Source organism: Homo sapiens, chromosome 6 (genome assembly GCF_000001405.40).
Source record: "Homo sapiens chromosome 6, GRCh38.p14 Primary Assembly".
In the NCBI taxonomy this organism is placed as follows: domain Eukaryota; kingdom Metazoa; phylum Chordata; class Mammalia; order Primates; family Hominidae; genus Homo; species Homo sapiens.
The window spans coordinates 107,077,839-107,094,288 of NC_000006.12; the positions used below are offsets into that span (position 1 = coordinate 107,077,839).

The 16,450-nt window shown below is 44.8% G+C and overlaps 1 protein-coding gene across 4 annotated transcripts in view, besides 1 other annotated feature; it reads right to left on the reverse strand.

Annotated features, from left to right (window-relative positions):
- Window positions 1-16,450, reverse strand: part of BEND3 (BEN domain containing 3) — a 50,334-nt gene that overhangs the window by 12,657 nt on the left and 21,227 nt on the right. The window lies entirely within an intron of this gene.
- Window positions 15,368-15,551: a silencer, noted in NCBI's record as "fragment chr6:107414410-107414593 (GRCh37/hg19 assembly coordinates)". NCBI's record gives its function as "represses an EF-1alpha promoter that drives an FKBP-Casp9 reporter gene in an ReSE screen in HepG2 liver carcinoma cells {active_cell/tissue: HepG2}" and the evidence as "EXISTENCE:reporter gene assay evidence [ECO:0000049][PMID:32094911]".

A 16,450-nucleotide genomic window follows, 5' to 3' on the forward strand; every position in this document is an offset into this window, starting at 1 on the left:
CACTCAGGAGGTGTTCTGTGCATTTGCACTGCATGAGATGCCATTTCCATTTTCCAAATGAAAAACAAACCACAGAGACATTTTAGGACTTAAAAAAATAAACGAAAAACCCCAGGAGAACAAAGCTAACCTCTGCCTGGCATACGGCTCTTGAACACTGCCCCACTTCTGTGAACAAAAAGATGATTACCAATAAAAACTTTGGCTATGCACCTCCCACATCTGCTGTATTTGGCTACGAAGTCCTCTCCAACAGAGGTGCCAAATAAGTCTTTACACAGCCCTTTGTTAGACTTTTTGAGGGAGGTTTTTTCTTCTAAGCATTGTACTAAATGTCACTCATAAAACAAGTTGTCAACATTGATAGACGCCTGCCTGTGACATGCTGTTAGCATCAGGGCTCCCCACTTTGCCCTCCTGCACTTTCCTTGGGGCAGGGGAGAGAAGACAGGAGATGGTCTATGTCCTGACTGGATGGTGCCCAGGCTGGGTGTCCTCAAGGGCATCAGGTGGCCTCCCTTGATGGTGCCATGCTGATTTCATTCTGATAAATGTAGAGGGAGGCAGCTGAATGCTGGTCATGGGGTTGAGGGCTGGAGATGGGAGCTCAGAGGCAATAAATAAACATTTCTTTTTGAGACAGAGTCTCACTGTCACCCAGGCTGGAGTGCAGTGGTGCAATCTCGGCTCACTGCAAGCTCTGCCTCCTGGGTTCATGCCATTCTCCTGCCTCAGCCTCCCAAAGTGCTGGGATTACAGGCGTGAGCCTCCGTGCCCGGCCCAGTAAACAACATTTCTAAAGGCTGACATGGAGCATGCCCCATGCTGCGTCCTCATGTGGACTATCTCAGTGATCCACAACAGCCCAGCGAGGCGGGCAGTGTCACCCCTCATGACGGTGGAGGAACCTGAGTTTTGGCGATCTGCCCCTCGTCTGACCCCAGATTCTCTGCTTGTTCTTGTATTTTAGCATGCTGGTAGTGATATGGGAGGGGGCTATGGAAGTGCTGGGTAGAGAAGGGCGGGTCCCTGGCTAGGGCTCCACCCTCAGGCCTGTGCCCATGGACCTAGGTGAGGACAGGCACTCCTGCCTTTGCACCCAAATGTTGCATTTTCCAAGACCACCCTGGCCTGCCACGCCCCCATTTCTATCCTGTGCCTATAGAAATCCCCGAGACCCTAGCAGGCAGGCACACAAGCAGCTGGATGTCCAGAGGAGCGGATCAGTGGAAGAAGATACAAGCAACTGGATGTCTACAGAAACACACGGGTGGAGGAACACACAACTGGGTGGATGTCGAGAGGATGTCGGGAGCACAGCATGATGACAGGTCATTGACCAGCAAAACAATGTGGAGTTTGGCAGGGGCAGTAGGAGGAGGGCCCGGGCCACTAAGCAGCCCAACTCCAGGGGAAATTCATTTTCCTTCTGGCTCCCCCATCTGCTGAGAGCTACTTCCACTCAATAAAACCTTGCACTCATTCTCTAAGCCCAGGTGTGATCCGATTCTTCTGGTACACCAAGGCAAGAACCCAGGATACAGAAAGCCCTCTGTCCTTGCAACAAGGTGGAGGGTCTAATTGAGCTGGTTAATACAAGCTGCCTATAGACAGGAGCAAAACTAAAAAGGCACCCTGTAACATATGCCCACTGGGGCTTCAGGAGCTGTAAACATCCACCCCTAGACACTGCCATGGGGTCAGAGCCCCACAGCCTGACTGGTCTGTATGCCCCCTAGAGGTTTGAGCAGTGGGGCACTGAAGAAGCAAGCCACACCCCCATCGCATGCCCTGCAAGGGGACAACGGAACTTTTCCCGTTTCAGTAGGATGACTCAGAGAAAGTGACAGTGTCTTCCCAATCAGTCCTGATAATCTCACCCCAGTAACAAGGCTGCCCCACTGGCACCCTGGCACCTTTTAACTTACATGCCTGAGTTTGCTCAGCTGCCTGGTTGAGGTATTAACTCGTTTGTTTTATGGATTAGATGGAATAAGGTATGGAAGGCACTATTTGTTGAGTAGCTACTGGTAACTGTTAGTGTGCTTCCTTTCTACTTTTTTTTTTTTTTAAATAGAGACAGGGTCTCACTATGTTGCCCAGGCTGGTCTTGAACTCCTGAGCTCAAGTGATCCTCCCGCCTCGGCCTCCCAAAACGCTAGGATTACAGGTATGAGCCACCACGCCTCACCCTTTCTACTTTTTTGATTATCACTGGCTGCATCCTCTAGGTTCCTCCTGTCTTTAATGAAAGTGCTTCAGAAAACATTACATATGGCTGGCTGTGGTGGCTCACACCTGTAATCCCGGCACTTTCGGAGGCCAAGGTGGGCAGATTGCTTGAGCCCAGTAGTTGGAGACCAACCTGGGTAACATGGCAAACCCCTGTCATTACAAAAATTAGCCACTGGGAGGCTGAGGTGAGGGGATTGCTTAAGCCCGGGAGGTCGAGGCGGCAATGAACCAGGACTGTGCCACTGCACTCCAGCCTGAGCCACAGAATGAGATCCCATCTCAAAAAAAAAAAAAAAAAAAAAAACAAAAAACAGGAAAAAGAAAAAAAGAAAAGAAAAGAAAAAGAAGAAAACAGTACATACACCCCACCCTACTCCAGTCACCATATATATCTTAGAAGAAACAGAAGATTCAGCGGCAGAGGATAAGAGAATATTCACCCTGAATTAAGACTAGTACTTTTTTGAAAAATTAACATAAGTATAATTTCATAAAACAGATGGATTGTTCTAAAGTCCCCAGGGTTGGCTGGGCACAGTGGCTCAAGGATGTAATCCCAGTATTTTGGGAGGCCAGGGCGGGTGGATCTCCTGAGGTCAGGAGTTCGAGATCAGCCTAGCCAACATGGTGAAACCCCATCTCTAATAAAAATACAAAAAAATTAGCTGGGCGTGGTGGTGCGCACCTGTAACCCCAGCTACTCGGGAAGCTGTGGCAGAAAAATCACTTGCACCTGGGAGGCAGAGGTTGCAGTGAGCCGAGATCATGCCACTGCACTCCAGCCTGGGTGACAGAGAGAGATTCCATCTCAAAAAAGTAAATAAAATAAATAAAGTCCCCAGGGTTCTAAGACTATTGACTTACTGGCACATACATCAGCTTATACAAATTTATTTTTTATTTTTTGGCATGGGATCTCAGTCTGTTGCCCAAGCTGGAGTGCAGAGGCAGGATCATTGCAGCCTCAACCTCCCAGGATCAGGTGATCCTCCCACCTCAGTTTTTGTATTTTATGTAGAGATGGGGGTTTCGCCATGTTGGCCAGGATGGTCTCAAACTCTTAGGCTCAAGTGATCCACCTAACTTAGCCTCCCAAAATGCTGGGATTACAGGCATGAGTCACAGCGCCTGGCCTCAATTTACACAAACTTTTTTTTTTTTTTTTGAGATGGAATCTTGCTCTGTCACTCAGGCTAGAGTGCAGTGGCGCGATCTCAGCTCACTACAACCTCCACCTCCCAGGTTCAAGCAATTCTCCTGCCTTAGCCTTCCGAGTAACTGGGATTACAGACGCCCACCACTACGCCTGGCTAATTTTTGGTATTTTTAGTAGAGATGGGGTTTCACCACGTTGGCTAGGGTGGTCTCGAACTCCTGACTTCAGGTGATCCACCCGCCTCGGCCTCCCAAAGTGCTGGGATTACAGGCATGAGCCACCGCACCTGGCCAAATCCAGGACTTTAAACACGATTTCCCCTTCAGATCTAATGGGTCAGAACTGCCTTCTGTATCCTATCTACTAAAAAGTACAGTAAATACACGTGACCATTTTTGTATATGTAGACTGGGCAAGTCATATGAGAAATACGCCAATGCATTTTTGGTTTTGATCCTTTTTCCCTAAACATGTCAGAGTCCCTGGGTGATACCTGAAGCTCCAGCCAGACAAAACTTACTCCCGGGAGACAGAGTGAGACCCTGTCTCAAAAAAAAAAAAAATAAATAAAGGAGAATATACCCTTTCCTTTGTGTCCCCAAGCATATGAAGATGCTGCCTTCTCTATGATCCTGTTACAATAAAAATGTGTTGAGTGAAAGGGTGAAGTGTGACATCATTTGTGCAGCAAGGCAACAGAATTATCTCGGACTGTCCACAAAGGCTACAACCTGATGTACACATGGACACAACTTGTTGGGAGAGCTTGCTGCTCCCTGTTTATAACAATAGCCACAATACTCCCTCCCACCTTTGTGTGAATGCCTCTTTGCAAGGTGATTTTATGCTTCTATCAACAGGAGACAGAGTCTACTTTTCCACTTTCGGGTGTAGTTTTGGATATGTGACTTGCTTTGGCCAACAGGACACTAGCACATGTGATGCAAGCAGAAGCTTGACAAGCCTGCCCTCTCTTGCCCCTAGGAATTCCTGCACTGTCATGTGAGTAAGCCTGGACTAGCTCCCTCCAGGGGGATAATGTACGTAAAGGGAAGCTCCAATCATCCCAGCCACTCATTCCAGGTGAGGACCCAGATACGTGAGTGAGGTTATTCCAGACTACCCAGCCCTGAATGTGTCAGGCCAAATCAGAACCACCAGCTGGTCCAGAGAATCATGAAAAAATAAAATAGCGGTTGCTTTTTATTTTTTTTGATATGAAGTCTCAGTAGTCTCGCTCTGTCACCCAGGCTGGAGTGTAGTGGTGTGATCTTGGCTCACTACAACTTCTACCTCCTGGGTTCAAGCGATTCTCCTGCCTCAGCCTCCTGAGTAGCTGGGATTACAGGCACACGCCACCACACCGGGCTAATTTTTGTATTTTTAACAGACACGAGGTTTGTTGGCTAGGCTGGTCTGGAACTCCTGACCTCAGGTGATCCGCTTGCCTCAGCCTCCCAAAGTGCTGGGATTACAGGCGTGAGCAACCGCGCCCAGCCTAGTGGTTGCTTTAAACTACTAGGTTCTGGAGTGGTTCTGTGCTATGTAACACAACACAGCACAAGTGAACTGATACACTAAACTTTGTCTTTCATTTCCCGAATTCTGGCTTTACTTGAAAACTTGAAGTGAGTTTGCAGAACTGATCACAAACAGAAATGTAATATGACACAGAGAAAAATATTTTTGGGAGTTCCTTTAGGAAATTAACATACTGCTTGTCAAACTTCTGATCACTTCCAGCATAACCCTCTAGGAATCTAACCTACAGAAACACTCATACAGTCACTGGGTTGATGTATGGGGATGTTTTCCCGGCATTACTTGTAATAATATAAAATTGGAAAACATCTAAATATCAATCACAAAGGAAAAGGATAATAAAATATGGTTAAGCTATTCCACTAACTGTCTTGTAGCTTTCATCTGCCACAGCAGATCACAGATCAGATCTGTGGGTTTTCATCTAGTTATTACTCACTGCACTAGAAACTGCCATCCAGGCGTGAAACTTTTGCCCAGATCACAAGGTATGCGGCAAGTGGCAGGGTTAGGCAGCAGCAGTCAAGGGTGGAATATTTCTAATTATTCGTTTATTAAAAATTATCGGCCAGGCACGGTGGCTCATGCCTGTAATCCCGGCACTTTGGGAGGCTGAGGCGGGAGGAATGCTTGAGCCCAGGAGTCCCAGACCAGCCTGGGCAACATGGCCAAACCCCATCTCTACAAAAGAAAAACAACAACCCCCAAAAACAAAATTACCCAGTTGTGGTGGTGCGTGCCTGCAGTCCCAGATATTTGGGAGGCTGAGGTGGGAAGATCCACTGAGCCCAGGGGGTTGAGGCTGCAGTGAGCCGTGGTCACACTACTGCACTCACCCTGGGTGACAGAGCAAGACTGTATCTCAAAAAAAAGAAAACAATACTCATAGGTATTAAAAAAAAAAAGTCAACATTTTTTTCTGGACATTACAGATTTTTAAATAATGTCTCGTTCAAGTATGAATTATGATACTCAAAAAGTAGAAGCAACCCAAAATATCTGTCAACTGATGAATGGATAAACAAAATGTGGTGAGGCTGGGCTCCATGGCTCACGCCTGTAATCCCAACACTCTGGGAGGCCGAGGTGGGAGATTCCTTGAGGCTAGGAGTTTGAGACCAGACTTGGCAACACAGCGAGACCCTATCTTGAAAAAGAAAAAGCATCTCTACAATGGAATATTATTTGGCCATGAAAGAAGATGAAGGACTTCAGGTATCTGGGCCAGCATGGAAGGAGCCTGAAAGTCAGCATTCCATCCTAACTACAAGGAAAAAGCTGAACAAACTGAAAAAATCAACACGTTTTCTTAAACCCGTAAGACCGGTAAGGTCACAGGGCAAACCACTGCCCCCAGACTTGGCGAAACAGACGGGTGAGTACAGAGACTCCCAGCTTACCACAGCAGACACCAGAGAGCAGACTTCCACAGGAACCAGCACTAGGGCAGGGAAACCTGAACTGCAACTGAGGAATTGCTGGAGACGCAGTGTGGACAAGTCTGAGAGTTAAAATCTCCAAGGTTACCCAATCAGCACAGACCCCACACTTTCGTGGGTTCTACTGAGAGGTGAAGCCAGCTGGGTTTCTGGGTCAGGTAGGGATTTGGAGAACTTTTCTGTCTAGCTAGAGGATTGTAAACACACCAATCAGCACTCTGTGTCTAGCTAAAGGACTATAAATGCACCAATCAGCACTCTGTAAAAACGCACCAATCAGCACTCTGTAAAAACGCACCAATCAGCACTCTGTGTATAGCCAAAGGATTGTAAACACACCTATCAGCACTCTATAAACTGCAGCAATCAGCACTCTGTGTCTAGCTAAAGGATTGTAAACACACCAATCAGCACTCTGTGTCTAGCTAAAGGACTGTACACGCACCAATCAGCACTCTGTAAAACTGCACCAATCAGCACTCTGTGTCTAGCTAAAAGATTGTAAACACACCAATCAGCACTCTGTAAAAACGCATCAATCAGCGCTCTGTAAAAACGTACCAATCAGTGCTCTGTGTCTAGCTAAAGGACTGTAAATGAACCAATCAGCACTCTGTAAAACAGACCAATCAGCGCTCTGTAAAATGGACCAATCAGCAGGACACGGGCCAAATAAGGGAATAAAAGCTGGCCACCCAAGCCAGCAGTGGCAACCCATTCGGGTCCCCTTCCACGCTGTGGAAGCTTTGTTCTCTCGCTCTTCACAATAAATCTTGCTGCTCCTCACTCTTTGGGTCTGCAGTACCTTTATGAGCTGTAACACTCATCACGACGGTCTGCGGCTTCATTCCTGAAGTCAGCGAGACCACGAACCCACTGGGAGGAACAAACAACTTTGGATGCGCCACCTTTAAGAGCTGTAACACTCACTGCGAAGGTCTGCGGCTTCACTCCTGAAGTCAGCGAGACCACGAACCCACCGGAAGGAACTCCCAACACATCTGAACATCTGAAGGAACAAACTCTGGACACACCATCTTTAAGAGCTGTAACACTCACTGTGAGGGTCCACGGCTTCATTCTTGAAGTCAGTGAGACTAAGAATCCACCAGAAGGAATAAATTCCAGACACACTACCTCCAAGAACCCTACCAGGTTCTCACAGCGAATATTAGAGAAAAATCCCCTTCTACTTCTGGCAGGGGGAGGGGAAAGGGAACCAATCTGAAATACCAGAGCATCCTCTTTTCTTTTGTTTTTTCTTTCTTTTTAAATTTTATTTATTTTTTATTTTTTTTTGAGAGAGAGTCTCACTCTGTCGCCCAGGCTGGACTGCAGTGGCATGATCTCGGCTCACTGCTAGCTCTGCCTCCCAGGTTCATGCTATTCTCCTGCCTCAGCCTCCTGAGTAGCTGGGACTACAGGCGCCTGCCACCACGCCTGACTAATTTTTTGTATTTTTAGTAGAGATGGGGTTTCACTGTGTTAGCCAGGATGGTCTCGATTTCCCGACCTCATGATCCACCTGCCTCAGCCTCCCAAAGTGCTGGGATTACAGGCGTGAGCCACCGCACCTGGCCTTATTTTTTTTTTTGAGACGGAGTCTTGCTCTGTCGCCCAGGCTGGAGTGCAGTGGCCCGATCTCGGCTCACCGCAAGCTCCGCCTCCTGAGTTCACGCCATTCTCCTGTCTCAGCCTCCCAAGTAGCTGGGACTACAGGTGTCCACCACCACACCCAGCTAATTTTTTCATATTTTTAGTAGAAACAGGGTTTCACTGTGTTAGCCAGGATGGTCTCGATCTCCTGACCTCGTGATCTGCCCGCCTCGGCCTCCCAATGTGCTGGGATTACAGGCATGAGCCACCGCGCCTGGCCGCCTTCTCTTTTCTTAAGGCTTGCCCTCCGGAGAACTATTTAACGTGAGCTAAACCTGCAGGGGTTTTATCAGAGCCTAACTGACCAGAAGGGAGATACCCAACTCCAGCTCCTGCCTTTCACCTGGAGGAAGAGAAATAGCCAACATCAGCCCACTTGACTCATCCTGTCCCACTTAAGGGAGGAATGGAGGAACTACAAAGTCCAAGTGAAGTTTACAGTCCAGAGATCCAGGGTTGCTAAAAGACTGAGACCTGGCCAGGCGCATGTTGGTAATCCCAGCACCCCAGGAGGCCGAGGTGGGCGGATCACGAGGTCAAGAGATCGAGACCATCCTGGCCAACATGGTGAAACCCTCTCTCTACTAAAAATACAACAATTAGCCGTGCATGGTGGCGTGCGCCTGTAGTCCCAGCTACTTGGGAGGCTGAGGCAGGAGAATCGCTTGAATCTGGGAGGCGAAGGTTGCAGTGAGCCGAAATCGCGTCACTGCACTCTGGCCAGAGACAGAGCAAGACTCCGTCTTAAAAAAAAGACAGACCAAATCCAGGACTGGAGAATGCTGCCCTCCCCTTTCCTCTCCCCCGACATTATTGAAGGACTATTCACAGGAGTTCCTTGTACTCAGGATACCATGTCTGGTTACTAAGAAAAAACTGGCTGGGCACAGTGGCTCACGCCTGTAATCCCAGCACTTTGGGAGGCCGAGGTGGGCGGATCACAAGGTCAAGAGATTGAAACCATCCTGGCCAACATGGTAAAACCCCGTCTCTACTAAAACTACAAAAATAAGCTGGGCATGGTTGTACACGCCTGTAGTCACAGCTACTCGGGAGGCTGAGGCAGGAGAATTGCTTGAACCTGGGAGGCGGAGGTTGCAGTGGGCAGAGACTGAGCTGCTATACTCCAGTTTGGGCGACAGAGCAAGACTCTGTCTAAAAAAAAAAAAAAAAAAGAAAAAGAAAAAAAAACTACAAGCCTGGGCCGGTAATCCCAGCACTTTCAGAGGCCGAGGCGGGTGGACCACTTGAGGTCAGGAATTCGAGACCAGCCTGGTCAACATGGCGAAACCCCATCTCTACTAAAAATACAAAAATCAGCGAACGCCTGTAATCCTAACTATTTGGCAGGCTGAGGCAGGAGAATTGCTTGAATCTGGGAGGTGGAGGTTGCAGTGAGCAGAGATTGCGCCTCTGCACTCCAGCCTGGGTAAGAGAGCAAAACTCCAACTCAAAAAAGAAAAGAAAAGAAAAAACGACAAGGCGTACTAAGACCAAACCAGACTCAGAGGTGGTAGGGATGCTGGAATTATCAGAGAATGTGAAACAACTATGATTAATATGCCAAGGACTCTAATGGAAAAAGTAGACAACATGCAAGAACAGATGGTCGGCGAGGCGCAAGCACTTTAGGAGGCCGAGGCCGGCGGATCACGAGGTCAGGAGTTTGAGACCAGCCTGACCAACATGGTGAAACCCCATTTCTACTAAACATACAAAAATCAGCCAGGCATGGTGGCACGCACCTGTAATCTCAGCTACTCAGGAGGCTGAGGCAGGAGAATTGCTTGAATCTGGGAGGCGGAGGTTGCAGTGAGCTGAGATTGTGCCACTGCACTCCAGCCTGGGCGACAGAGCAAGACTCCATCTCGAAACAAACAAACAAACAAAAAAACAGATGGTCAATGGACACACAAATGAAAATACTTTTTTTTTTTTTTTTTTTTTTAGAGACAGGGTCTTGCTATGTTGTCCAAGCTGGTCTTAAACTCTGGGCTCAAATGATCCTCCCACCTCAGCCTCCCAAAGTGCTGAGATTGCAAACATGAGTCACCACACTTGACCTGAAATTCTAAGAAACAATAAAAAAGAAAGGCTAGTGATAAAAAAAAAAAAAACACTGTAATAGAAATGAAGAGCCCTTTTTTTTTTTTTTTTAGAGACAGGTTCTTGCTTTGTTCCCCTGCCTGGCTGAAATACAGTGGTGCAATCTTGGCTCACTGCAGCCTCAAACTACTGGCCTCAAGCAATCCTCCTGCCTCAGCCTCCTAAGTAGCTAGCTAGGACTATAGGCATGTGCCACCACACCCAGATAAAAGAATCCTTTTGATGGGTTTTTTGGTAGGCTGGACACGGCTGAAAAAAGAATCTCTGCATTTGAGGATATCTTAATAGATACCTCAAAAACAGAAAAGCAACAAGAAAAAGGAATGGAAAATTTGAACAGACTGCCCAAGAACTGTGGGATAACTACAAAAGGTGTTACAAAGGGTGTTACATATACACCATGGGAATACATGGAAAGAGAAAAAGGAACAGAAGAAATATTTGAAACCACAATGACTGAGAATTTCCCTAAATTAAGGTAAGATACCAAACCACAGATCTAAGAGGTTCAGAGAATAGCAAACATGATACACGAGAAACAAAACAAAACAAAAAAATCCACTATACCTAGGCATACTGTTTTCAAACTACAGAAAATCAAAGATTAAAAAAAATCCTGAAAGAAGTAAGGTGGGGAACAAAACACTTTACCTATAGAGGAGCAAAGATAAGAATTACACCTACATTCTCCTTAGAAACTGTGCAAGCAAGGAAGGGGACTGACAATCAAATGCAGTAAAACTGCAGGATACAAAAACAACATACAAAAACCAGGAGTATTTCTATGTGCCAAAAGTGAACAATCTGAAAAATAAATCAAGAAAGTAATATAATTTACGATAGCTACAAATAAAAATAAAGTATCTAAGAATTAATTTAACCAAAGAAGTGAAAGATCTCGGCCAGGCGCGGTGGCTCACACCTATAATCTTACCACTTACCACAGGTGGATCATCTGAGGTCAGGATCTGGAGACCAGCCTGGTCAACATGGCGAAACCCAGTCTCTACTAAAAATACAAAACTTAGCTGGGCGTGATGGTGGGTGCCTGTAATCCCAGTTACTTGGGAGGCTGAGGCAGGAGAATCACTTGAACCCAGGAGGTGAAGTTGCCGAGATCGCCCCATTGCACTCCAGCCTGGGCAAAAGATCGAGACTCCGTCTCAAAAAAAAAAAAAAGTGAAATATCTCTACAATGAAAACGTTTAAAACATTCATGTGAGAAATTGAAGAAGACACAAAAAAAGGAATGATATTCCACATTCGTGATTCGAAAAATCAATATTGTTAAAGTGAAATATTATCCATGCTACCAAAAGCCAACTAAAGATTTTATTTTTTTTCTCACACCTGTAATCCCAGCACTTTGGGAGGCCAAGGCAGGCGGATCACGACGTCAGGAAATTGAGACCATCCTGGCTAACACGGTGAAACCCCATCGCTACTAAAAATACAAAAACAAAATTAGCCCAGCATGGTGACGGGCGCCTGTAGTCCCAGCTACTCGGGAGTCTGAGGCAGGAGAATGGTGTGAACCCAGGAGGCGGAGCTTGCAGTGAGCCAAGATCGTGCCACTGCACTCCAGCCTGGGCGACACAGCGAGACTCTGTCTCGAAAAAAAAAAAGGATTTTTTTTTTTCGAGACAGAGTCTCGCTCTGTCACCCAGGCTAAAGCGCAAGGGCATGATCTTGGCTCACTGCAACCTCTGCCTCCCATGTTCAAGTGATTCTCCCGCCTCAGCCTCCTGAGTAGCTGGGATAAGAGGCACGCACAATTGTGCACGGCTAATTTTTGTATTTTTAGTAGAGATGGGGTTTCACCATGTTGGCCAGGCTGGTCTCGAACTCCTGACCTCAAATGATTCACTCACCTCAGCCTCCCAAAGTGCTGGGATTACAGGCGTGAGCCACTGCGCCTGGCCACCAACTACAGATTTACTACAATCCCTATCAAAATTCCAATGATATTCTTCACAAAAATAGAAAAAATAATCCTAAAATGTATACGGAACCACCAAAGAGCCAGAATATCCAAAGCTATCCTAGAACAAAATTGAAGGAATCACATTACCTGATTTTAAATTATACTACAGAGGCCAGGTGCACTGGCTCATGTTTGTAATCCCAGCACTTTGGGAGGCCAAGGCAGACAGATTGCTTGAGGTCAGGAGTTCAAGACCATCCTGGCCAACATGGAGAAACCCTGTCTCTACTAAAAATACAAAACTTAGCTGGGTGTGGTAGCATGTGCCTGTAATTCCAGCTTCTGGGGAGGCTGAGGCACGAGAATCACTTGAACCTTGGAGGTGGAGGTCGCACTGAGCCAAGATCGCACCACTGCACTCCAGCCTGGACGACAGAGCAAGACTCTGTCTCAAGTAAATAAATAAATAAATAAAATTAGGGAGTTTGTTGCCAGAAATGTTCAAAGGATTTCTTCAGAGAGAAAGAAAATGTCAGAAACATGAATCTACATAAAGAAAGAAAGTGCATCAGGGAAGGAATAACTGAAGGTAAAATAAAAACTTTATTTTTCTTACTCTGATCTGACAACTCTTTGTTCAAAATAATAATAGCAACAATGTAGTCAACTATATATGCTTGTGTGTGTGCACGCGCGTGTGCACGCACTTATATATAAATGAGTGACAGCAATAAGACAAGGGAGAAGAGGGAGGAATTTGGACTCTTTTGTTATTATAAGGTACTCACACCACTTCTGAAGTGGTAGGTTATTTGAACATATGCTTGGACTAGTTGTAAATATATGTTGCAAACTTTAGGGCAACCATTAAAAAAAAGAAAAAAATATTTAAGAAAAAAGTATAATTAACATGCTAAAAAAAGATAAAATTAGGCCAGGCGCAGTGGCTCATGCCTGTAATCCCAGCACTTTGGAAGGCAGAGGCAGTGGATCACCTGAGGTCAGTAGCTCGAGATCAGCCTGGTCAACATGGCAAAACCCCGTCTCTACTAAAAATACAAAAATTAGCCGAGCATGGTCGTGGGCACCTATAATCCCAGCTACTCAGTAGGCTGAGGCAGGATAATTGCTTGAACCTGGAAGGCAGAGGTTATAGTGAGCCAAGATCGCACCACTGCACTCCTGCCTGGGCAACAGAGTGATACTCCATCTCGAAAAAAAAAAAAGAAAGAAAATGAAAACTCAATTTACCAAAATTTGTGAAATGCAGCAAAAAGAGTGGTTAGAGGAAAATATATAGTATTGAAGGCATATAATAGAAAAGATCTAAAAATCATCTAAGCTTTTACCTGAGAAAACCAGAAAAGCAAATTAAATCCAAAGTAAGCAGAAGAAAAGAAACAAAAAAAAATTAGTGTAGAAATCAATGAAATTACTAACGGGAAATCAATAGATAAAAAAAAATCAATGAAACCAAAATCTGTTTCTCTGAAAAGATCAGTAAAATCCATATGCCTCTAGCAGGCTAAGTTAGAGAGAGAAAGAGGACACAAATTAGTAATATCAGAAATGAGAGATCCCACTACAGGCCCCATGGACATTGAAAGAATGATAAAGGAACACTATGACCAACTCTATGTCCACAAATTTGATAACCTAGAGGAAAGAGACTAATTCCTTAAAAGACACAATCTTCTAGAACTCATGGAAGAAGAGACATTCCAAATAGGGCTATATCTATTAAAGAAATTGAATCAGTAACTAATAGCCTTCCAAAACACAAAGTACCAGGCCCAAATGGGTTCAAAGGTGAATTTTACCAAACATTTAAGGGAAAAATGATACAATTTCTCTACAGTCTCAGAAAACAGAAGTAGAGAAACTACTTCCTAACTCATTCTATGAGGCCAGCATTACCTTAATACCAAAACCAGACAAAGACATTACAAGAAAAAAAGCTACAGACCAATATTTCTCATGAACACAGATGAAAAACCCTCAATAAAACATTAGCAGGAGACTGATTTGAGTCGTAATTCTGTCTCCCACGTGGCCAGCCTCACATTAAAAAAAACTGAGGCCAGGCATGGTGGCTCACGCCTGTAATCCTAGCACTTTGGGAGGCAGAGGTGGGCGGACTGCCTGAGCTCAGGAGTTGGGGACCAGCCTGGGCAACATGGTGAAACCCCATCTCTACTAAAATAGGAAACATTAGCCGGGTGTAGTGGCAGGTGCCTGTAGTCTCAGCTACTCGGGAGGCTGAGGCAGGAGAATTGCTTGAACCCGGGAGGCGGAGCTTGCAGTAAGCCGAGATCACACCACTGCACTCCCGCCTAGGAGATAGTGAGACTCTGTCTCAAAAAAAAAAAAGATTTTATACACCATGACCAACTTAGATTTATCCTAGACATGCAAAGGGGTTCATCATTTAAAAATCAGTTAATGAAATCCACCACAGCAACAGGGTAAAGAAGAAAAATCACATGATCATGTCAATAAATGCAGAAAAAGCACTTCACAAAATCCCACACCATTCATAACAAAAACTCTCAGTAAATTAGGACTAGAGGGAAACTTTCTCAACTTGAAAAAGAACACCTACAAAAATCCCACAGCTAACATTGTACTTAATGGTGAGAAATCAGAAGGTTTCCCATGAAGATCAGGCACAAAGCAAGGATGTCTCCCTCTCCTCATTCCTTTTCAATATTGTACTGAAGGTCTTAGGTAATGCAATAAGAAAAGAAAATGAAATAAAAGGTATACTATCGCGAAGGAAAAAATAAAACTGTCTTTCTTTGCACATGACATGATTGTCTATGTAGAACATCCAAAAGAATCCAAAAAACAACTGGAACTAATAAAGCAATTATAGGAAGGTTGTAGTATACAAGGTTACTATACAAAAGTCAATTTTATTTCCTATACACCAGCAATAAACAAGTAGAATTTAAAATTAAAAACACAATACCATTTATATCAGGACTCCAAAAACATGAAATACTTAAGTTATAAACCTAACAAAATACATATGTATACAAGATGTATATGAGGGAAAGTACAAAACTGATGAAAGTAATTTAAAAATTAAATAAATGGAGAGACATTCCATGCTCATAAAGAGGCAGACTCAGTATTTTCGAGATGTCAGTTCTTCCCACTTTGACCTATAGATTCAGTATGATCCCAATCAAAATCCCAGCAAGCTATTTTGCTGATATCAATAAACTAATTCTAAAATTTATATGGACAGACAAAAGCCCAGAATAGCCAACACAATAGTGAAAGAAAAGAACACAGTTGCCTGTAATCCCAGCACTTTGGGAGGCTGAGGAGGGCGGATCATGAAGCCAGGAGATCGAGACCATCCTGGCTAATACGGTGAAACCCCGTCTCTACTAAAAATACAAAAAAATTAGCCGGGCGTGGTGGTGGGTGCCTGTAGTCCCAGCTACTCAGGAGGCTGAGGCAGGAGAATGGTGTGAACCCGGGAGGCGGAGCTTGCAGTGAGCCAAGATCGCGCCACTGCACTCCAGCCTGGGCGACAGAGCGAGACTCCGTCTCAAAAAAAAAAAAAAGAAAAGAACACAGTTAAGACTGATACTACCTGACTGCAACATTTACCATAAAGCTACAGTAATCAAGACAGGGTGGTACTGGGGCAAGAATAAACAAATAGATCAATAGAACAGAATAGCCCAGAAGCAGAACTGCATAAAGACAGTCAACGGAAGCAATACGATGGAACACAGTCTTTTCAACATATTTTACTGGACCAAACTGGACATCCACATGCAAATATGTCAATCTAGACATAGTCCTTACACCCTTTACAAAAATCAACTCAAAAGGGATCACAAACCTAAATGTAAAATGAAAAACTATAAAACACCTAGAAGATAACATCAGAGAAAACATAGATGACCTTGGGTTTGGCAGTAACTTTTTAGATATGATACCAAAGCCACAGTCTATGAAAGAATTAATAAAGTGGACTTCATTAAAAGTAAACATTTCTGCTCTACAAGATACTGTCAAAAGAATGAAAGGCAAGCCACAGGCTGGGAGAAAATATTTGCAAAAGACATACCTGATAAAGGACTATTAATCAAAATACAGGACTGTTAATCAAAATATATGAAGAACTCTTAAAATTCAACAATAAAAACAAAACCCAATTTTAAAATGGGCCAGCCAGGTGTGGTGGCTCAAGCCTGTAATCCCGGCACTTTCGAAGGCTTCAGGCCAAAGGGTTACTTGAGCCGAGGAGCTCGAGACCAGCCTGGGCAACATAGCAAGATGCTATCTCTATAAAATAAAAATTAAAACGGGCCAAAAATCTTAATAGCCACTTCACCAAAAAAGCTATACTGCTGGCAAATAAGCATATAA